General features: G+C 34.0%; 1 protein-coding gene across 17 annotated transcripts in view, besides 1 other annotated feature; it reads right to left on the minus strand.

Annotated features, from left to right (window-relative positions):
- Positions 1 to 25,560, minus strand: part of CDH18 (cadherin 18) — a 1,104,418-nt gene that overhangs the window by 447,719 nt on the left and 631,139 nt on the right. The window lies entirely within an intron of this gene.
- Positions 8,696 to 9,343: an enhancer, noted in NCBI's record as "OCT4-NANOG hESC enhancer chr5:19927819-19928466 (GRCh37/hg19 assembly coordinates)". NCBI's record gives its function as "activates a minimal SCP1, AML or CMV promoter by ChIP-STARR-seq in naive and primed H9 embryonic stem cells {active_cell/tissue: H9 hESC(naive and primed)}" and the evidence as "EXISTENCE:reporter gene assay evidence [ECO:0000049][PMID:30033119]".

Here is a 25,560-nt window from a genome sequence, read left to right on the forward strand (position 1 = left end):
GGTTGAGTGACTGGAGATTGAGTAAATCACTAATGGCTAGTGATTTAATCAACTCTGACTATGTAACAGAAACCCCATAGAAAACCCTAACTGAAAGGGTTCAGAGAGATTCCAGGTTGGTGAATGCATTAACGTGCCAGAAGGGAGCTGCACCCCCACTACACAGACTCACAAGCGTCTGTGCACAGAACCCAGCCAGGCCTGCCCTGTGTCCCTCTTCATCTGGCTGTTCATTTGTATCATCTATGATATTATAATCCTTATTATATGTATAATACATAGGTCAACATCAATTAAATATTTCTTTGAGCTCTGTGAATGGTTATAGCAAATTATTGAGCTTGAGGAATAGGTTGTAGGAACTCCCAATTTGCAGCCAAGTTGGACAGCTGAATACCCACTACTTGTGACAGGTATCTGAAGTTTAGAGCAGTTTTGTGGACTAAGCCCATAACCTGTGGGATCTGTGCTAACGTCGGGTAGCTACTATCAGAATCAAATTAAATTGTGGAACATCCAGTTGATGTTTGCAAAGGATTGGAGAATTGCTTGATGTGGAAAACCTACACATTTGATATCAGAAATATTGTAACTTGAAATAAATTATAAGGGTAGTAGATATGGAATTTGTCTTTCTAGTAGAGGACCACTTATACTATTTAATATTTTACAGATATCAACTTATTTGATGGAAGAAATAACAGTCATTTCTACTTTGAATATGTGATGAAATTTCAATTCACTGTGAGCAAACAAATAATGGTGATAATATAATAATAAAGAGAAAGGGATTATTATATAGTGTGGACATACAGTTGGCTTTCTGCTTTAGGGTTTTTCATATACAAATAAAAAAAGTTGAAAGAAGAGGCAGTCCTGCAAAAGACTAACCATATTAAAGTGTCATATCTATGTTAATTATCTTCTCTTTTGTACTATATCTAGATAGTAGTCATTTCTATACTATAAAGGAAGACCAAGGCCTAATAAATTGCAAAATCTATATTAATAGATCACTTTATGGCTCAATTTTTATCTTTCAGAAACATGTTAAAGTAATAGCAGACACAACATTAGGAAGCACTGTTTTTGAATCCCATAATATTTTCAGTACTATAACATTATTTTGTTAAAACCTGGTTAAAATCTTGCTATCTTTGAAATTTCGAAGTTATAATTCATATCTTAGAGAAAATCCTATTTTGACTTTATTATATAATTTAGACATTAGAAATTAATAAGTAAACCAATCACTTAATTTCAGCCATTCTAAATAATCAATAACAGAAACAGATGTTAATTCATTGGAAATAACATAGCAACAAGTAGGACTTGAAAACTGGATATGAACAGACAACAGTTTTGGCCCAAGCTATGCAGTAAGGTCATTGCTGTCACTACCATCAATTCCTTTAGAATCACCAATTATCCGATTTGCATTCCTACAAAAGGATGTTTATTAAATGACACAGATTAGACACGACATTTAACCTTACTTTTTTTTTTTTTTTTTTTTTCAGACGGTGTCTTGCCCTGTCGCCTAGTCTGGAGTACAATGGCACGATCTCGGCTCACTGCAACCTCTGCCTCCTGGTTTCAAACGATTCTCCTGCCTCATCCTCCTGAGTAGCTGGGATTACAGATGCCCGCCATCATGCCCAGCTAATTTTTGTATTTTTAGTAGAGACGGGGTTTCACCATGTTGGCCAGTCTGGTCTCGAGCTCCTGACTCCATGATCCACCCGCCTCGGTCTCCCAAAGTGCTGGGATTACAGGCGTAAGCCACCGTGCCCGGCCCCATTTAACCTTACTTTTCTCATCTCTGAAATTTAGGGGTAGAGGACAAACTAAGCATTATATATATGTATACCCACAAGAGCACACACACACACACACACACACACACATCACCACAGGGGGATAGAGTACATGATAAAAATATCATTTCCAAGCAATGAGGGAAAGATGAGTCATTTAAAAAATAGTATTGTGATACTTGGTTAGTCATGTACAAAAAAATAAAATTAGATTACTACCTCAACCATGATATGAAAATAAATTCTGGAAAGACCAAAAAGCTAGACACAAAAAAATGCACTTGAGGAAACAATAGAACAAACTTTTTGTCCCTTAAAGTCAGAAAAAAATTGTAATTATGAACTGGATGTGACAAATTAAAGATTGATAAATCTGATTATATACATTTCAAAAAATTCCGTTAAAAACAACAAAACAGGCCGGGCATAGTGGCTCACACCTGTAATCCCAGCACTTTGGGAGGCCAAGGCGGGCGGATCACGAGGTCAGGAGATTGCGACTATCCTGGCTAACACAGTGAAACCCTGTCTCTACTAAAAATACAAATAATTAGCCAGGAGTGGTGGCGGGCACCTGTAGTCCCAGCTACTCGGGAGGCTGAGACAGGAGAATGGTGTGAACCCGGGAGGCAGAGCTTGCAGTGAGCCGAGATCGCTCCACTGCACTCTAGCCTGGGCAACATAGCGAGACTCCGTCTCAAAAAAAAAAAAAAAGCCAAAATTAAAGACATAATGGAGAAATATCTGTAATTCGTATCAAAGTCAATTGTTAATTATATTAAAAACTATAAATCCTGTAAAAACGAGGAAAACTTCAAATCTCAATATAAAAATGAGACAAGTATATGAGATTTTACCAATAAAGAAACAAAGTCTTAAAAAGGGATATGCAACATCAGTCATAAGTAGAAAAGTTCAAAATTAGCATATTTTTCACTTGATAAATTAGTAAAGATAATTTTTAAAATTATGTTGATAATCAAGTATGAAGAGAGAAATTCTCATAATTCTCCAGTTTTAATTTCTAATACAATAAATATCACTAGATACAACCCATATAACCAAAGGCTAACTCGATGATTTTTTTTTTTAAGTATAAAGGATTCTAAATCGAAAACCTTTGAAAACCTCTGGCCTAGAGGGTAGGTCTGTCACACGTCTCTTTGGTTTTACTAATGGAGAAAGTTAATACCAACATCAGATCATTTCTGAGAATGTGAAGGTGGAGGGGTTGGAAGATGGAAAGCATTGCTGAATTAACAGTTTCATGAATGAATGATTTTTCTCAGTCAGTTGTCAAAATGAATCTCAGTTTGTAAGGAGACTGAATTTTTTCATTTGAGCAATTAATCCAATCCCTCTAATATAAAATAAACTGCTAGTGATAATAATTTAATAGAAGGGTTTAAACTAAACCATTTCTTGTGTTATGCATGTTTCTGCTTTAGCTAGGTGAACTGAAGCAATATTAATATTTTAATCCATCAGGTTGTGAAATGGTTAAATTAGCTTGAAATTACTACAAAATGGTGCTTTTGAAAACATGATCAAAATGTTCACAAATGTTAAATATAGGAGCATGAAACTTATTTCACCCAAAGAATTTTGTGGATATTACAAGAGATCAAGCCTGTCATATAAGCATCAAATGCTATCATGCAGCTTAATATTATATCTTTGATCCTGTCAGATTTATATTTTTGACATGAAAATCAACCCAAACCTCCTTTCTCTATCTGCTGTTAACAAGATCTTTGTTGGCTTGTGACAGAAAAAGTGTAAAATCACTGAGCTGCTATGTACTTGGGTGAATTTACTTTTAATCTTTTTTCTATACCGGGAAATTGTTCTTTCATCCCTGGACATTCGTTTAAACTCTCTGTGTTTAATTTTACTAACCTTTGAGACATTTATTTTTCCATTATTCTACTGGAGAACACATGAATAATTATTGAAGAATAAAAGAATTGAACAAGAAAAATCATACATCTTCTTCTTGGTAGCATACTCAAGACGCTCCTGCATTTCAAGCTATTTTTGGAGGAAGGGAAGGAAATTGACTTACCTGAAAACAAATTATATATTCGTTTAATATCTCCTCTCAAATATCCTTTTTAAAAATTTAGATTCAATGGCATTTTTAATTTGAAGTATGTGACCATCCTCTAATGATAAAGTGACGTCTCTGTACCATCTATTTCTATCCGGTCAGACCTATGATTTCTTCGAGCAATAGGGTACATTATAAGTGACACTGTGTCTTTGAGTCCTGAGACATAATGTAAACCCTACTGCTGTCATATTGTAAGGATGCCCAAGACACATGAGGCTCTTTAACTGACAGGCACATCTAAGCCCAGTTTTCAAACTATCTCAGCCCCAAGCCTAGATATGTGAATGATGAAGCCTCCAGATGATTTCAGCAGCCAACCAATTAGACAACCCTGAGACTTTTACATTTTTTCCTTATAAGGCTCCAGAAAACATGAAACAGAGACAAGTTATCCTCTCTGAGCCCTGTCTGATTTCTTGATCCACAGAAACTTTTAAGCATAAAAATAAAAGTTGTTGCTTGATACCGGTAAGTATGGAGTGGTTTGTTACACATCAATAGACATCTAGAAGAGATCATTTCCACTAACTATCTTTGTCATTTACCTACAGATTTAATTTGCTTTTCCATTCTTAGTGCACCTCCAATTTCACATGTGTAGCAGAAAAAATGCAAAGAATATGATTCTAGACTCTGGCATCTAATTAAAATATAAGAATACATCCTTATGGAGTAGTCATGGAGAAGCTGAACAGGCTCTCCTCCTTATATTTCTTATAATCATATCTCTAACTCAGAACAAACAACTGAGCTAAATAATATGTAAACAGACAGTGTGGTTATTTGTAAAGCCCTAAATATTGTGCTCAAAGCCTTTTAAAAATCTGCAGCCAAACTTAAAGGATTTCGTATTATATCAAAATATACTCTTCTCAAAAAGATAGCTTGTGGAAGATTCACATTTAGGCTGCAGAAATTCTGACAACTGCCTAAAGCTGTTGTTCACCTCTTGTGGAAAAGTGGCTGCAGATCAAGTGCCACCCCATCCCCCGGTGAGATGTGGCAATCAGAGGAGCTGTACTGTGTACTGAAAAGGCAAGAAGAGTGTGTGTTTCAGTGAAACTATGAGACCGGTACTTTCTTGGAAGCATTGTCATAGCTGGCTTACATTTTATTGCATGGAATATAACCCATACAATGAGTAAAGCTATAAATATCATAGTTTTCAACTATGAATTTATCATAAACACATTATTAAACAAAAACTATACTCAGTTGAAAAGGGCAACAATCAGGGGAGAGGTAAGCTTTGAGAGTCATGCTCCTTTGGCACAGAAATCCTGTCTCTAAATCAACAATGCAGCATGCAGTCTGTCCTCTCCTCTCCTCCTCAGTGCCACTCTCTATTTTTTTAAGATATCTTTTTGCATTACTTTTTATTTTTCTTTAGCTTTTTAAAAATAGGACTTTGGCCAGTTGTGGTGGCTCACGCCTATAATCCCAGCACTTTGGGAGGCTGAGGAGGGCAGATCACCTGAGGTCAGGAGATCAAGATCAGCCTGGTCAACGTGGCAAAACCCCATCTCTGGAGTTTAGCTCGGAGTGGTGGCAGGCGCCTATAATCCCAGCTACTCCAGAGGATGAGGTGGGAGGATCACTTGAGCCTGGGAGACGGTGATTGCAGTGAGCCCAGATCGCAGCACTGCACTCCAGCCTGGGCGAAAGAGCAAGACTCTGTCTCAAAACTAACAAACAAACAAACAAACAAAACAATAGGACTTTAAATTTTGACTAATAGGACATTAGGAATCATTTCATACAAGGTAAAACACCAGTGAATTCTATGAAGTAGACAGGTCATGTGAATGGTGGCACCTGGCTGAGTATAAGAACACAGAGCAGAGAGTGACCAAGGAGAAGTGTGGAGCCCAGGAAGCATCCACAGCGTGCAAATAGATCAACTCTTTAGGTGGAATTAAGCTTCAACATCCTGTGCCCTCTTCTCTATTTGACAAAGTGGCATTTAAAATACAATTGACCCTTGAACAAGGCAGGGATTGGGGTACCGATGCTAAGCCATCAAATTTCCACATATAACTTTGCAACCCCCAGAAACTTAGCAACTGACAGTCTACTGTGAACCAGTAGCATAAACAGTCAGAGAAGACCTATTTTGTATGTTATATGGAATATATACTGTATTCTTGCAATAAAGCTAGCTAAGAAAAATGTTAAGAAAATCATAAGGAAGACACAGGTACAGTACTTTCCTGCATTTATCGATAAGGTAAGTTTACATCACCCATTTACAAGATGAGTCTTCCTGAAGAGGAGGGCACCCACAGCAGCAGACCTCAAGCTACAGTATGTATAAAGCAATTCATATAAGATTTTATTGTAATGTGAGTGCTTTGTTTCCGGAAGTACTTCCAGGATCATTAGTGGCACTCCCTGTGGGTCTTCTGGTGTTATTCAAGGTTTATGGTATTGCAGTAAAAATGATGAAAAATATGCAAGAACGCAAGACATCACTTTTTACTGTGATCCGCAATTTATTGGGGAGACGAACTCATCACATGGGGATGATTAGCATCGCACTGCATTTTTCTTTTTTTTTCCTTTTTGAGACAGAGTCTTGCTGTCACCCTGGCTGGAGTGCAGTGGCATGATCTCGGCTCACTGCAACCTCTGCCTCCTGGGTTCAAGCGATTCTCTGCCTCAGCCTCCCAAGTAGCTGGGATCACAGGTGCCTGCCACCACGCATGGTTAATTTTTGTATGTTTAGTAGAGACAAAGGTTCACCATCTTGGCCAAGCTGGTCTTGAACTCCTGACCTTTTGATCCACCCACCTCAGCCTCCCATTACACTGTATTTTAAGTGGATACTCACGACAATTGAGCTCACTGAAATAAGCCACAGGAAGTGGCTCTGAAATTACTACAGTAGTATGGTATGTACTATCATTTCTTTTATGCAGTTCTGATTTAATTCTGTATCTTTACATTTGTTGATTCAACTGGGAATGGCACCAGGTATGGTCTATGTGTGCATAAGTTTTGATAAATTTTAAGTTTTATAATAGATTCGTGTTTATTTTATAGTAGCGAATAATAAAATGGAATAGTATCAACTTTTTTTTATTCATGACATATCAACTTTAAAAATATTTTTACGGTACTTCTAAGCTACGTGGTTCACCTGCAATTTTTTTTCAAATTGTTGCAAATCTCTAAAAATTTGTTCCATGTATTTATTGAAAAAAATTGCATATAAGTTGACCATACCGTTCAAGCCTATGTTGTTAAAGGGTCAACTGTGTATTCACTAAAGTCTGAAGGAGCTTTAGAGGCTTAATAAATCAGTGATTTTAATTTCACTGGTAATATGCTTGAAATACTTTTAAAACTATAAAACAAATAAAATGTCAAATATGTTTTATAACAACTTTTAACACATCAGCAACCATCAATTCATTGTATTATCCAGTTAACCAACTTTTGTACAGACCTCAGGGCAAAGGTGTTTCTATCTGAATTTGCTAAGTGAGTTCTTAAAACAGGGACTACATGTACTTACTTATCTTTGGTAATCAAAATATTCTCAATTTTGTAAAAAGAAAGTGAAACAAAACAAAAGGAGACTGAAGTTAATATAAGGCTAACATTTTGATTTGTAAATTCCAGTATTTAATTTCCATATCAAGCAAAACAGCTTCATCTTTCTAACTAAATAATGTAATATATATTATAGGTAATAAAATTGACTCTCAAGTATGATTTCATTGTTTTGATTTATTTTCCATTAGATAGTTTACAAATGATTTGGTAAGGCATGAAATTTTCTTCTGCTACCCAAATACAAATCAGTGTATCAATTTCCAATTTTGTTTTTTTCTGAAAAGGTATGCCAAGATATTTCACAATTTCATGCCTAGAAATAAAACGTATCTATATATAGATATAAATATGTATATAGATACAAATATATAACTTGTATTTTCAGGATAGAAAAGGTTTGCATAAGGGTATACCTCAATGAAGGAGTCAAATAGTTAAACCATAGTCTAATTAAATTAAACATTCTGTCATTTATAAAGAAAAAATAAGCGTTAAAGAATTGCTACAGAATTGTTTTAGTCAGTTGCCATACTGTTGGCCTTGACAGTGTCGAGAATTTTTACATTAAGTACTTCTTGTTTTATGACTTCTTTTGATTATATTTGTAATAGTAATTCTAGATAACGTTTATTGGGTACTTACAATATAGTCAATAACTTTGAAGGGTTTGAGATTTTATCCTGCTTGTATGCTATGCTAACCTGCTCATAAAGTGTTAGAAATGGTGGCACAAGACAGGAGATGACATTCAGAGAGTAAGGACATCATTACTCAGGACACAGCAGGCGGCATGAGCTTCTTACATGTTTGGGTGAGAATATATTAACTCATTTCATTCTCACAATACTCTATGAGGTAGTTTTGACTCTTGCCCTCACTTAAAAGATGAGGTTACGCAACCTGCCAAATTCAAAAAGCTTCAAAGCATCAGAAATTGATCTCAAAAGTCTCCAACTCCAGATACTGAATTCTTAATGACCACACTGTACTGACTTTTTAAATGTATATAGACAGTACCTTAATAATAGTAACATATTTCCTTTAATAAAGATGTATGATTCTGAAATAAAGTATGAAAGCACATATATATAAATTATTATGATGTATATTATTTTAGCAAAATGATATTTTTATGAATGTTACTGCAGGTCAGCTATTTTCTAATGCAGACATGTAATTTTTTGGAGATTATGTATAAAAATATTTCATTTCTTAAAGAAAAAAGTTATCAATCTAATATGTGTCAGAAAAAACCTGAGAAATGTGGTCTTAGTTTATTCCCAGAATACCAAACAACCAATATGATGTTATATTTATTCATTTAGGGAGCTTGCAAGTAAATTGTACTCTCTGTTCTGACAGACCCTTGAGATGGCATAAGCCTTTTCCAAATTTTGCTTCATTGTGATTCTGAGTCTTTAAATAGAGAATTTGGCTGCTAAGCCTACAAGAGATTCCATGTCTATTAAATCCATCCTATCTTGTTGTGTTTATTTGAGGTAATCTATTAGTTTACACAACTTGCTCTTTGGTCATGCAGAGCTCTGAAAAACACAGCCTGCCAGGGCTCCGTCCTGATTCATTGTCATGGAGAAGCTCAAACAAGAACCAGACACTGTGAGGACAAAAGATCCCTCAAATTACCTGCAGAGAGTCGCCCTGGCTTTCAATGGCTGCAGTCCAAAGACACTTAGACCAAATTAAATTGTGCCAAAACATTTAAAAGCAATATTATTAAAACAGAATTCTTCTCAATATGCTGCTCAGCCACATGTTATTTGTATTTTCGGTACTAAAAACTACTGACATAAATGAATTAATGTTTGCAAACACTTAAAAGAAGGCCCGGCACACAGAAAGCATTATACAAAAACTATGAGACTTTGCTAAACAAAATAAAAGATGGGAATTCTACGCATGGTCAAGATGACTTACTTTTGTATCTGATTTAGAAGTCACCAAATATGTATAAATTTCACTTGGAAGAAATAAATGATCATCCTGAAAGTTCTATCAGTACATGGAACGTAGCATGTATATCCATACATGCTACACAATACAGGAATGTAACATACATATCCATACAGGATACACAATACTCCTGTGTGAGCTTGAGAATGTGTTAAAAGAAAGAAATGAACAATGGGCTAAGAGTAGCAAAAGAGATCAGAACACTGGGAGGATTGGCAGGAATGAACCTGGGAAGAAAACAGCCCAGAGTGTGTACTGCCGCAAATCATCAGCTGAACTTAAACCTTGGCACTCAGGATCTCTGAATAAATGCATTGGCTGCACAGTGGGGCTCAGGCACTGCTAAGCTCTTCACATATGTTATCTTATTTAGTCCCTACAACAGTCTTATAGATGATGACTAGCAATATCCCATTTTACAGATGAAGAAATTTAGTCAGAGGCATTCCTGGAGACTGGGTTGAAAGAGACCTAAATCATTTTTATTTTATTGTTTTTCAGATTTTGGCCACACATACACATCGTTTTCATCCTTAATTACATCATGGGAGTGAAGCTTCCATAATATTCCTTGAGAGTTTATAAATACTGTAAACAAAATTTTCTAACTTTTCATAATTAATGAAAGTTTCTAGGACTGCAAAGTACACATGTGTTCATGTTTTATATGATCAATGGAAAAGAAAACTGGCCCTGACTCATCTTCGTGACTAGCAATCTCATGGTTATGAGTCATCACTTCTTCCTCTCCTCAGTATTAGACAACACAAAAGACAGGCCTTTTAATCAAATGACTTAATCACTTAGGTTTAGTTTGGCATCAGACATAGGTATTGATGGCACCTAAATGCTCCATGCTCCATAAGAACAGAAGAGCATTACTATATGCAGAGGACACAGCAAGCATTAGGAAACAGACTGACTCCTCAAGACTGAATCAAACATTTTCTGTGCAAAATTAGTGCAAGAAATCACAAGGAGGAAATACGAAATGTTGAGACGAAGAATAAATATTTAGATGGTATCAGCCCAGAGTAGACAGGAGGCATTACGGACACCTTCAGAGTATTTTCATACCCTTGCAATTGGCTTTGTCAAACAATTTTTAATTTTGATGTACATGTGTTATGCCTCCCTAATAATATACAGAAATCCAGAATTTGGGACTAGTCTGCATGGTATTTAGGATGTGACTTGCAAGGACTTTAAACACAAAAAAAGGCCTCAATACATCAATGCCTTAAATGTTGGTGTGTGAATGTAACCATCTTAAGTTGATTTTTGTAGGCTAGGCTTTACCTCTTATTTGCATTCATTATAGTAAAAGGAATCAGCCCAACTTATTTATATATGTTGAACTTTCATTTTATATTCATAAATGGTCATCATTGGATGACTGTATTTCCAATAATTTACTGAAAATTAAAACACAATGGCTTTCTGCAGCAGGAAAAACGTTGGTTTAGGCTCCTGTAGAGGTTGAAGTAGAAACTAAGAAAAAATAGGTTCAGATGTATAATGACAGTGACAGGGTAAAAGATAAGAATGGCAGCTAACACCCATTGATAAAAGGTTTAGCATAAGTTAGGCAAATATTCAAAGCTCTTTGAAACACTAGTTCATTTAATCTTTAAAGAACCTTAAGGGTCACAGCTTATAATTATCATTCTCAGCATATGGATGAAGAAAACGGAACAAAGGGAGGATAAGTGACATACTAAAGGTCACATACACACATCCCTAATTAGTAACCCTGGGATTCCAACTCAGGGAATCTACTGCCAAAGTATGCATTCTTAATTACTATCAAATATTGCCTCTGGACTGTGTTAAAAAGCTAAATGGAGAGCGAGCAAGGAGAAACATATGTGTACACACTGAAGAAGCAGAGTTAGAACATAGGGCTAAAGAAAAAGGTGAAAAGAGAAGAAAAATGACTTGGAGATGGAAATAACCATTATTAAAATGAAAATTAAAAACAAATCTCTCTCATATTATGGAAGTGTGAAAAACAACAGAGAAGGCTCTCCTATATTTTCCACAGTAGCATTTTGTGTTCTACAATCATATCAATCAAGGAGGAAATATTGATCATGTGGTTACCATGGGAGAGGCTCCGCAAAGCTCCGGGGGACACTTGTACGTGAGAAGATAAATAAAAGGGTAAGGTAGCAAGTGTAGAGTTCAGAGCAGCTCAATAGCAAGAGGCCTAGTGTGCTGTCAAGGAAACAGCTGGCTGAAAACGAATCATAAACTCTATCTCTAAGCTTATGAAACTGCCCTTGCTTGTAGTGCATAAGATCCGTAATATATTTAAAGATGATCATGTCTTCATTTACAAAGGAAGACAAATTAAAAAATCAAGAAACAGTCAAACTAAATAAACCAAAGTCTTAAGATGTTTCTGCAGCTTAATAACAGAAACTCAGTTCGAAACACAGAATTAAGAATTATAAGTCCTTATAAACTTAAGAATGGAAGTGTGATCAAGACTCTCAGTTGCTACATCTTGGCAGATATGATTTAGATATATGTTACATGGGTTGGTTCACGATGTACTCAAATATTGAAATACTTAAGTAGACAAATAGTATTAGTCAAACAATGCCAGTGAGCTCACATGAGGTATAGCATTTAAAAAAATTACATCACTAATTTTGTCACATTTAAGAATTATTTAAGAATATCATAACCCTTCATATTATCTACTTGATTAATAAAATTATTCCTTTTAGTTCAAATACAAGATTCTTCAATGGCAATTTTATGTCTCCTCAATCTAATCTGAGTTGTGATTTCATCTGTCAAAATAGTGTCAACTTAGTTAACATGCTAACACATATCTACAGCTAATTTTTTTCTGTCTTACAGTTCCTAAATGAAATAAAAGTCATTTCTGACTCCAACAATGAAATTTTATTTTCCTTTGAAGTGAACATGCATTAAAACATTTGGAATAAATATTTTCCCTGTAATGTGGTTAAAATTGAGCCCTAAATATTTAGGGCCATTGCTGTTACTACCTAATAAAAATTTTTCTGCTATAAATACAAGTACTGATTCCTTTAACTTCTCAGAGACACAGCATTTCAAAGTAGAAAGTCTAAAAACTGTTGGTGGTGTCTGGTTAGAGATCAGATACAAAAGCTATATTATTAATATTTGTTTATTGGGCAAATGCATGAGAAGTGAAAAAAAACTTTTCATATATAGAAATGGGAAAATGCAACAACTAATATTTTCCTTTGTTTAACACAGAATGAAATATAAGACTTGCTCCAAATTTCTTTCTCTTTCCCCAAGTCCTTTATATATCTCTCTGCTTTATATTAACTCCTATATCCATCTCTCCCTGTGCTTAGGTACCTGTTTAACTGGCTTTTTGAGTGTTCATCTCTCTATATACACATCTAAATTTCCCTGCCGTTTAAGTTTCATTTTCCCCTTTTCCTCCCATTGTTCCCTCTATCCTATGCCACCTCTCTTTATCTTTAAGCAAAGATCACTCCAACTCCTCACTCTGTTCTCTTCACTCAATCTTTCACTCCACTAAAGTACATTTTTTATAAGAAGTTAAATTTATTGAAAGAACATGTATGAACTAAAAGAAAAAGTTGAATACACCACTTTCCAAACCAATGAGAATGAACTGTAGATTCCATATGTGGCATATGGGATATCTTATAGTTCTCTGAGAACTATAAGACACGTTGGCACTTGGAGGATGAGAAAACAATAAACACACAAGCCCACACTACTGGAATGCACAAAGCTTTTCACAGAAATGTATCAACATGGGAAAGGATGTTTTATACTCATGTGCAGAATATTTTGCAGAGAATCTAAACTTATTAAAGTACGCGTGTTATTTAGCTCCTTTTTAAAAAACAATCTCACTCAGATATTCTCTACAACAATCCCATCAAAAATCTATGTAGATGCCCCTCCTAACATGCTGGGTTTCTCAATGTCTTTACTTCCTCTTCATCAAAGATAGCTGTCTATCCCCTATCTCATTCCCTCTCTGCAACAGTACAATGGTCATCCACTAGGCCTTGTCTTAACAATAATTACAATCCGCCCCTCTCCCCACAATACACACACCTTGAATTTACAAGCATCACCTTTTCCCCACCTTCTCCAATCTTTGCAGTTCATTCACTTTGTTATACTAATTTTTAACAAATCTTTATCTGTCCCTGACCCAATAGTCCAATGATCCTACTACCTTTTCATAGTACTTAATATCCATCCTGTCTGCCTTTTTTTCTTCATCCCATGCCTAATTATTAAAAATATTCCCTTGCATACATGCTCAAACCACTTGTCTAATTAGCTCTTTACATACCTAGATATACCATTAGACTAAATTGTGACACTGATAAAGTGCAACTCTGTCTACTCCATGTATCTGTACATACAACTGAAAATGACTGAAAAAGAATCCACATAGTAATTTTTACTTGTTTCTTATTAAATATATGGCCCTTAACATAGGCTTCTAATACTGTATTACATACAGTAATAGGTAATAATAATACCTAATACCTTATAGGTATATATACCTAATCATAACTGTAATGCAGGTCTTTATTCAATATCCTTCTCTACTGGCTGGTACTTTTGTCCTTTGAACTATCTTAAACCTTCACCAATTCTCCCCTTTAATCCTTATTCTAGGTTGATGATCATATTTCCCATTTAACCAGGATAAGAAGAGACAACCATAAGTGAAATTTTTATAAGCTTGCTCTACCACATTTGCCCACCTACTTACACCTCCTCTAGTATTATCTGCCTTTTTCCTCTTTTAAAAATTTACCAGTAGACATATCTGTGCTCTTGTGCAATTTCATGTAATCTATTTGTGCATTAAGTTCCATTTCACTTATATTCTCAAGAAAAGCATCCCATCAATTGCACCCCTTTCCTCATCCATCATTATTTTTCTCCTTTTCTTTACATATTTTTACCAGTATATGAATGTATTCAGTATTGACCTAAATTCTTTCTCCAGCTATTGTCCCAATTTTTGCCTTGAAAGCAAAACTTTTGGAGTTACCTATATTTAGTATCTCAATTTTTCTCTTTTGCACCAATTTTAATCAGTATTTTGCCATCATAACTCCACCTAATGTACTCTTGGCAAGATCAGCAACCTCCATTGTTCAATCCAATAGTTAATTTTTGCTTTCATCCATTATGACCAAATAGGAGGATTCAAATTTCTCCTTACTGTTTTCTTCCTAGTTATTGAAATATTCTGAATTTTCTTCTTACTTTCTGGCACATTTTAGCGTCCATTTCTGATGCCTCCCTTGATCCTTAAAATGGTGAAAAGGACCATTTTCTAGGGTTCTTTCCTTTTTTGTCATTTAGGAAAGAGATAAAATGTACTCTTGTGGCTTCAAATAACAAACATATAGTATTGACTTGCCAATTTTATCTCTAGTTTGGATCTATCCCTTGAACTAGACTAAAATGTTCAAATTGCAACAATTCATAGCTACTTGGATGTCTAAGAGCATCTTAAATTTTAATATTCTTCATTCCAGTTCCGGTAGTTCCAAAAGATATAAATTCCATGAGAGCCAGGATTATTTTCCCCACTTGTAAATCCTAGTACTTAGGACAACAGGTGGTAAAAATGTGTTATCAAAGAATACAATAAATAAGAGTAGAAAGGAAAGAAGGAAACAAAAGACAGAAAGAGAAAGAGAGAGAGAGAGAAAAGGAAGAAAGGAAATAAAAGAATAAATGAATTATTTTATGAACATTAGATGTGAGAAGGACTTAATGTGCTGGATGATTTCTGTATCCTTCATGGACGTCCAGTGACATAAGTCTGAATTCATATATAACTGTCAATTGCATTTCAGATTTCTGGGTCTAAGCATCCCTCTTTTAGGGATAATGACAACCCAGTGGGCTCTCATTCTACCTTTCCTAAATGTTTCTGTTATATTTATGCACAAGCCTTCCCTTTCTAACAGGTATGGGGAGGTCATTCACACACAGACAGATGGTTCCCTAAAGAATTCTTGCTAACAATGAAGCCTAAAGCAGGCCAGAGGAAATGTTTAAACATGTTTTTTAAAGGCCCACTTTTACTTCCATTTCATAAAACTAAAAAAGAGCTTTTACATGCACTGAGAATATGCACTAGGGGCTCTTTGATTAAATTTGGCTTTGATGTAAAGATACAGGGGTCTTAGTTAACTCCCTCAGCAATGCTATGTGGTCACACTGAGGATTGCCTTTGTTTATAGTTATCATCTTTTTGCAAATGTTTAGACAATGGATTTCATTTTATTAATAACCTTGCACAGAATAATAGAGTCAAAAAACTCTAGATCTATCAAAGTGGCTAGTTATGGTCTTTCATATTTTATTTTATCCTAAGTCCTGATTGCTTTGTTAAAATAAACCCAGATAAAAAGAGGAGAGGAAAACAATTGGATCCATACATCATGTTTATTTAGCATATGTCCTTATGTATAAGGAGGTTTTGAAAAGTTTGTTTTCTTGGCCTATGATTATGTCTCAGTCTTCAAATACCACTTTTAGTTTGGAAGCTGAGAAAGAGGAAGTAAGTTGTTATTTCAGGGGATGTTCTTTCATTGTTAGCTGACTCTTTGTCCGGCACCTCCAGAAGAAAATACCCTCAAAAACTTTAAGGACCCTTACAGTTCATTAGAAATATACCTGTTCATGACCAGCTTCTTACATCTTAAGGCAACTTTACATTTACTTGTCCCAACTTGGAAAGATGAGAATTAACAGGTTTTGATTTGACTACTTTTAGTATGTTTCCCTATATTTTCTATAGACATTCTTAAGTAAGCTAGGCGATTTCAGTTACAGTTCTGTGCCCTATATTGAGGTTTCGGTCACCAACAGACCACTTATATGACAGTGGTCCTATAAGATTTTGCTATTAATACAGTATTTTAATGTACACACTTTTTCTATGTTTTGATACTTCTGGATACACCAATACCATTGTATAGCAATTTCCCATAGAAATTAGTACAGGAACATGCTGTACATGTCTGTAGCCTAGGAGGAATACGCAATACGTTATAGCCTAGGTGTGTAGTAGACTATACCATCTGGGTTTGTTTAAGCACATTCTGTGATGTTAACACAAGGACAAAAAAACACCTAACAACGCATTTCTCAGAATGTATCTTCTTTGTTAAGTGATTCATTATCCCCTTTGTATTTAAAAACTTTTTTTTTTTTTTTACTGTGGAAAATAAAGAATCTTAATGTATTGGTTGTTCATAAGCACTGAGCTAGCTTTTACATACAGTCAGGAACTCTCTCTCTCTCTCTCTCTCTCTCTCTCTCTCACTCTCTCTCTGTCCCAATGTCTTCTCAATGCTCATTTCCAAACTTGTGATTTTTTTTTTTGTTCCTGATGTGTTTCGCTTAATTGTTTAGTCACACCTGTTAGTACTGTTGTTCCAGACTGTATGATTGAAATAGCTGTTATTTTCCCAGTTTCTGTAGATCACATATAGGAAGTTCTGCATAATCATAGTGATGAAAACTCATGTTTAAAAAATCCATATATAATTAGCGTGATACAACACAGCATCTTAACACTGAGGCTTTAAGTTTTAATAATTCTGTTATTCTCAGTAACACTGAAAGTTGCCTGTGCTCTTTCTGTCACACAATTGATTCCAATGTATTTTAAAATGTGTTTTTCTGAGTCATTTGTTGCCTTGTTACTTTTTAAAATTTCCCCTTCGGTATAAAAAGTGCAACAGCCTGTTTTTGTTTTAGCTTAATTTTTCAACAAGAAATGTTTTGAAAGTTAAAGAGCACTTTCTTTTTTAAAAAAATAATTAATTATAAATGATGTTTGTTTCTCTGGCTAAAAATTAGGACAAAATGTTGAGGAAAGCCATGGGAATGTTCAAACAGAAAGTCCTTTAACCTGAACTACTCTGAATTTTATGTTTTTAAACACTGTATACCATGAATTTAAAATTTTTAAAGCAATACAACAATGATTAAAAATAATGTGCTGTATACTTTCACAAAAAGAGCTGTCAAATAGGTACTCTAAGGTTTTCATTATAATTAATAGATACTACAAATATGCCACAATTTTGCTTCTTAGATGTCATGTTTTTCTTTAAAGAAAAAAAATAAAAACTAGAAGCTCTAGTATAACATAAATTTTACATTTTGGGTAAAATGTTGAGATTCTGAATATATTTCTTGAAGTTTTAAACAAAATAGCCCTAAACTTATCTTTAGAACACTCTCCTCTTAAAATATATGTCCAATTCATTTACTTATTTTATGTGAATAGAAATTTCATGTTTCAAGATTTAAAAATAAAATATAGAAACTGACAAATAAGTTAAAAAATAGGTTAGAAATGAATATAGATGTAATAATATTATACATATAGATACAGATACTGCAATTATTGTGATTTTCAGTTTCAAAAAATACTTCTTAGAGTAATAATACCACTGTAATTATAAACATGGCCATATATACTCTTTTCAAGTATTTATGTACACTCATATGTTACTATAAATTAAAAGTTAGAGCAATTTTTTGAAAACCAATGTTATAAATCAGATGACCAATTTTATTAGTTTAAAACATTATAGACATTTGGAAAATTATTATATCCTTCATGTTTACACTGTTGAGGGACAGAAATTTAAGAAACTGAGGTGGGAAGGGTCTTTTGTAACTATATAATTATGGTTACAGAAAAGGGCCAGTTCTGGACACCTATCACTCATTCATTTGATTAGGCAATTATTCTTTCATTCTGTATACTAGTCTCTCTTGAGCACTTGCAATGTAATATGAACTGGCATTCTCAACAAGAAAGTAACAAGGAGGTGTTATGGTGGGGTAGTGAAGATGTGATTTACATATGGCCCTGATGTGTGTGAGGCACAATGGCTGAACAGGATTAAACTGAATACCAATATTGAAAACAGAAACTCTAAGTAATATCTGCAGAAAATAAACAGACATTACAATGGAATTTTTCAATTAGTTTTGATTGCAAATATGTTTTCTATAGCAAACGAATGCACACAAACATATAACCACACATGCACACATATAGACTGACCTGCATACACAGAAACACACAATGTACAATTTCAAAGAAAGTATAACCGAACAATACCTAGCCTCACTATGGGCAGCACACATTTCCTATTCTATTGCATTATATATATGTACATATTTTTTTTCAAAGAGGGCTTGAGAGAAATGAGACTTCCTCTTAGAAATACTACATCCTTGAAGAACAAAAAAATTTCAGCAGTTATATATATAGAGAGAGACATTTTTAGAAATTAAATAAGTATATAATAAAGGGCTAGACTGCCTTTATTGGTGGCTTGTAACATTGAGAAAGGAAATTTTTTTTATTGAATTTCACAAAGACAAGAATCACATTTCAAATTATGTCACTAACCTTGAAAAAATATATTTGCTATATATATATATAGTGTATATAAATAGCAAATAAAATATATTTGCTATATATATAGCATATACATAGCAAATATATATTTATATATTTAAATATATATATTTAAACAATGGATACATAGACTTTTTTTGGGAGATGGTGTTTAAAAATAACTGAATTTAGAGATTTAGAGGGTGTATACTGTGAAGCAGTGGAGTCACTGAAATGTAATGACCATGTTTCATGGAAACTTGTGAAACCTTCCAAGATTGTGGAAAAAGGAAAAGAGAAATTTTAGGGATGAGGGACTCAATGATGCTGGGTTATGGAAAACTTACTCTATTGTCATGGTTAACTTCTGCTCATATCCTTTAGACTTCAGACTTCCTGACTGAAACAACAAGTTTATTTATTTTAATTTTTTTATTATTATTATGACTTCCGATATCCTAGATTGAGCATTTAGCAATGGCAACTTTCAGCAGTTAGACACCTTCTCATAAAATGCACTCCATAACCCAATAAGGTACATACATTTATAATCTCATTTTATAGCTAGAATAATTAAGTAAATATTACCAAAATAAATCACATATGTCATCAGAAATTTCATGAATATGACTTGTTATTCTTCTTATTCATATTTTCTAGTTACCATATTCAATGTCATGGCTAACTTTGACTTTCTACTTCATGCTTTGTTCCTGAAATAACTATCAGGACATAAAGTATATATCTTGGTATTTTTAGATGATGTTGACCAAAAAATGTAGAAAAAATAAACATGCTTGCCTATTATATGCCTTTTAAAGTTATAAAGGTACTCTGTATACAGACATGTTCTCATTTAAAAAAATCACTAGTAGTTCAATAGTTATAAATTTAATTTTTAATGTACTTAAATACATTTGGAGCATTTCTTTGTTTAATTCTAATTTAAACTTTAAAATAAGTTTATAGACAAAGAAATGTTCCAAATGTATTTAATATAAATTCAATTTTTAATGTACTTAAATACATTTGGACCATTTTTTTGTTTAATCTTAATTTAAACTTCTAAGAAGTTCATAAACAAAGAGATGCTCCAAATGTATTTAATTACATTAAAAACTGAATTTATATACCAAGAAAGGTAATTAATATTTAGAGGATAGAACTAATACTTTCAGATATAATATGTTATTTAAGTGTCCTTTCATAAATGAAAAATCTTTTTTGTTAATTTTACCAATGAGGATCAAAACACTTTGTCAGTAAATTTTATTTGAAATGAATTATTCAACAACAGTTAATAATTATACTTTTTCTTTTTCTTTTCTACTTTAAATCTAGCAGTAGTCTATAGCAAATATATTTTTTGAAGGTTAATGGCATAATTTTAAATGTGATTCTTGTCTTTGTGAAATTCAATAAAAAAAATTTCCTTTCTCAATGTTACAAGCAACCAAATAAAGGCAGTCTAGCCTTTTATTATATACTTATTTAATTTCTAAAAATGTCTATTTTTGAAATTATAATCCAGGTTTATTTAGCTTTAAAGCTGATTTCACCACTGCATCACTGATTAAAAAGTGTCTAATTTTTTATTGTACTTAAGTAGATTGAAAGTGCTGACAATTTTTGATACAATTTTCTGTCTTAATTATATTTGCAACTCCGTGTTCACTAATCATGAATTAAAGCATACTGCTGGAAAATATTTTGTCTTTTATAGAGTAATTAGACTCAAGATATTTTCTTTCCATTCTTGAAACAGAATGAAATTTATATAATGTAAAGCAAAGCTTTCATCTTGTGGTATGGAATGATGTATACTGGTGATCATTTCGATTTGTTAAATTGAGAACTCAATAATAGTTCATAATACCATAAAATTTTCATCAGTTTTTGGACTGGAAAGACTCATCAATTTAAAGGAGACTTTACTTAATTTAAATGCTTTATATATTTGTGAGGTAATAGATAAGAATCCATAGGCTTCCAAAATTTGGGAATTCTTTCTTCTTTTATGTGACTTACTCTAGTTGTACAAGCAAAAATGCATAGTTCCTATTTTAACAAGTTTTTAGTGATTGTGCAAGAAAAGCTGAATGTTTTCAATATTTGCATCTACATGCATCAACCTGTCACTTTTTTCTTACTTATGTATATAGAGACCAGTACTTTTCTTTTAACTTTATTTTTATACCTCAAAAAAGAAAGCCTCATAACAGAGGCTTAGCATATTTAACTTTTTGAAGATAAAATCCACTATTCATCTGATTACTGAGAATATTAAAGATAAAGTAAATATTTATAGTATTTATAGTAATAATAATATATATTTTCCACCAAGTCAATAGGTTCTAAATATTGTAAAAATATAGCTTACATGTGACCCTATCTCCTCTACAATCTTCCTAATTTAAAGCAGAAGCTTCTCTGTCCTAACTCATTGCACTCTTCTCTTAACTGATCTTCAATTTTCAGATATTGCCTCCAGCTCATTCTCCACACATCAGCCAGACTGCTATTTCAAAAATGTGTATCGAAGAGACCTACACTTAGGAAAAAAATCCAAATTTACTATTTGGCTTATGTAGCTCTGTATAAATCATTTCCTGCATAAATCATCATTTGTGTCTTATTCACACAATTTTTTTTCAGTACCTACCACTGACCAAGAAGACCTTTGTTGAAATTTTCACTTACTGGCCTTTGTGGATCTAGAGATTATTTTTTTCCTAGTTCCTTCTCAGTTTTCATGGTTCCTGTCAATGTCATCTCCTCAGAGAAGGGTCCTCTAATCACCCCGATTAAGATAGAGCCCTTCCTCTAGTGTCTTTTCTCCAAGTACTAGTTTATTTTCTTCATAGCACTTACCACCAACAACAATAGCAACAAAAAGTCTCCAATTATTCTGTATTGTTTGCATATTTTTTCCCCAAGTAGAATTCAAGATACAGAATGGAACTATATTTTCCTTGTTTAGTTCTATAGTTTTAATGCCTAATAAAAGTTCCAGTCTATTATTTAAAAAATAGTATCCCCATCCTAAAGGGGGAGGGTGAAAGAAAAGTTCAGAGAGAGTAAAGTCTTTAAACTAAATGTTTGTGTTTCTCCACGATTCTGTGTTGAAACCTAATCCCCAATATGATAGTATTTGGAGGTAGGACCTCTGGGAGGTGATTAGGCATGAGGGTGGAGTCCTCATCAATAGGATTAGTGCTCTTATAAAGAGACTCCAGAAAGCTGCCTTGCCCCTTGCACCATGCGAGGAAAGAGTGAGAAGTCTATAATCCAGGAAAAGGGTGTTCACTAGACATGGAATCTGCTGACATCATGACCTTAAACTCCTCAGCCTCTAAAACTGTGAGAAATGAATTTCTGTGTTCGTAAGCCACTCAGTTCCTGGTATTCTGTCATAACAGCACAAATGGAATAAGATAACTAATTTGTTAAAATGCACATAGCACATGTTTGGTTGAGACGGGACTGAGTAGAAGTAGTCCAACTTTACTGCCAGTGAGGTGAACATGTACTCTGTACTGTTTGCTAATTATGTTTTAAGAACTTCCTTGGGCCAGGTGCCATGGCTCATGTCCGTAATCCCAGAACTTTGGGAGGCCAAGATGGGTAGATCATTTGAGCCTAGGAGTTTGAGAACAACCTAGGCAACATAGCGAGACCCCCATCCCTACAAAAAAGAAAAAAAAGAGTTAACTGGGCATAGTGGCACATACCTGTAGTCTCAGCTACTTGGAAAGCTGAGGCAGGAGGATCACTTGAAACCAGGAGATGAAGGCTGCAATGTGCCGTGATTGTGTCACTGCACACCATCCTGGGTGACAGAGCAAAACCCTGCCTCTCAAAAAAAACAAAAAACAAAAAACAATCCTCATCTACCCTGCCTAACTCCTAAGGTATAAAAAATGTGATTCATTGACAGACATATTTGCCTAAGATCATAAATGAAGCTAGTTGAAAAACTGAGACTAAAGTGAATGTTCCATCTTCTCAATCATGTTCATTTCATTGCACACTACTGTCTCCCTTCAAGTTGACCTTCTGGAGCATTATATGAGCCTAGACATGGCAGATATGTTTAGGTCCAGGTCACAAAGAAGACATAATCAGGAAAGCAGACTTCAAAAAAATAAGACCTAAAGAGCAGATAAATAATGGTTCAGGGTCAAGAAGTATATTAAACCAGGGATCAAGATTATGAAGATCTCTGACAGGGGATGATGTTCCATTCCCAACTAGTATTGAAATATCAGGAGGATACAGACACCCTTTTGGAAGAAGAATTTCAGTGTGGTCATATTCCCTGCACTAAGGCACATATGATTTTCCTTCAATGGATTATCATTCTTTCCTGGAATATGTTAAATTAGCATCAAAGTGCTTAAAGTTTGGCCCTTGCCAATAAGTACAATCTACTTCAGCTGTGAATTGCTGACGGCTGAATGAAGAATGCTACCATTTAGAAGTGTCTCTTTGATTCTCAATTCATATACAAATAAAATATCCTTTTGCTTTTTATCAAGGGAGCGATATTCCTATAAAATATTCAAATTTACCACGGAAAATATGTCCATTCTACAAATCCCTGGAGGGTAACTTTGATCCTTGACTTCTGGTTTTCAATCTGCCATTTTTACTCATGTTTTCCTGAAACAAGTAAGCCCACAGGTTGAGTCCTTCCAAATGAATTCCACAAGCTGATAGATGTCACCCTTCTTATCTAATTTTGACCTATCTCCTTTAAGGCTTTCTGGAGACAGATTAAAGAATGAGGCTTTGGTTTGACATCAGTTCAAAAGATAGAGCAAAGTGTGAGCAGAAAATAGAGGTCAAGGTGGAAGTATGAGGCAAACCTCAGGAGCATAGCCCCTGTCAAGAAATGCCCCGACTCTCAGCAGCAGTCGAGGAAGCAGCTGGTCTGGATTTCTTGTCACTGTTAGGGCTTAATTACTGGCACATAGCAAACACAGGCCTTGGAGATGGGACTGGGTGACCCATGTCGGGGGCTAAGGCTGTCTTCTGATATACTCTCTGCCAGGTGACCCTCGTGCCTCATGACAGCATGATGCCTCTTTGAGCTTAGTTCTATCTAGCTGCAAGTTACTTGTAAAGAGACAGTTTTAGAAACAGTGATCATAATATAATAATTCCCAAAGTGTGTTTACATCATATCATCCCATATTCATCTTCCTGACAAGACTGTGAGGTACCCAGAGGGAAAATGATTGTAATAATCTTTTTGTTGTTGTTGTTTGGGGGGGTAAGAAAAGTAAGAATCAGAGAAGTTAAAGGATTTGACAAGCATATACAGTTGCTGTATGGTGAAGTTAGAATTCAAATGTGGTCTCTTGAATCTAAATGCCATTTTTATTCCACTACACCATATCTATCTAAGTAATTCAGTTCTCAAAGTGAATTGGGAGGAAACATGAAGCTAAATGTAATATTTCAAGGAGATATAGAAGGAATCCAAACATATGAATCCCAAGATAGAGCTCAGATTGTAAATAACCAATCTTGTCAAGATATGAAAGCCATTGCAAGCTCTAAACTGAGATGTGATTTAAATGTCATATTTGAATAACAGTCCTCTGATCCATCATCTGCCATAAATTTTAAGATCTCATTTACAGAAAATAAAAACAAACAAGTTAACCTTTTTTCATACCAACATGTAAAAACTGTATAATATCCTGAGTCTTTTAGAGAGAATTGGGACCAAAGGATTCCAGTCAATGAATAATTAAAAAAACACTCGAATATCCTGACACCTGACCCTTTAGAGTATTATAGTGTTCTATTTGTAATTAAATCTTAACATGAAAAAGATAGCAAAATAAATATTTAAAACCTCCCCTTAAAGAAATATACCCAATGCTGTGCTATTTGGGGAGATCTTATTATTTGATAATTTATAAAAAATAAATTCTAAAAGCAATGAAATATAAGCAGTTTTTTTCTAATAGCTATTTTGTATTACCAAAAATCAGTAGTTACATGTATTCATTGTGACTTCAAATATACCAAATACCAGGAACATAAATACCAGGTTAACTAATTCAACCAATAAGATGAAACAAAATGTTATTCACTTTTAATTTAAAGAGCTAGGTGAATTGAAGAGGTCAGGATGAATGTACCTCCTTGACATCTTCTCCTTTTTCCTTTTCCAATTTAATATATTTCTTCTAATCTCCAGATGATTGTTCGTTTCCCACTACTCCTCTGGTTTAGTAATGGAATTTCCACTAAAACATTTGCTATCAATTTTGTTTTGTTTTTACCTGAAGTTTTAACTGTCTTATATAATTTAATATTATTACATTTTACCAGAAATAGAAACAGCTAAAGTCTACCTATTCCACTTAATTTAACATTGAAGGGAACAAAGAAACTATATATTTAATTGGTAAAACATAAAACTCAGAAAAACCTAAGTCTCTAAAGTGTGTATATAATTTATTAAATGTACTAGATTCACCATTCCTAAAACTAAGTTTTTGATTTGAGTGGTGAATGTTTACTGTGACTGGCTGAGAAGATAGAGATATAAATCTTCAACTCCCTTCAATATTGCACATGCCTGGAGAAATGCATTGTACTTTATGATAGTAGTTTCTGTTTTTGTA

Source organism: Homo sapiens, chromosome 5, assembly GCF_000001405.40.
Source record: "Homo sapiens chromosome 5, GRCh38.p14 Primary Assembly".
Lineage (NCBI taxonomy): Eukaryota > Metazoa > Chordata > Mammalia > Primates > Hominidae > Homo > Homo sapiens.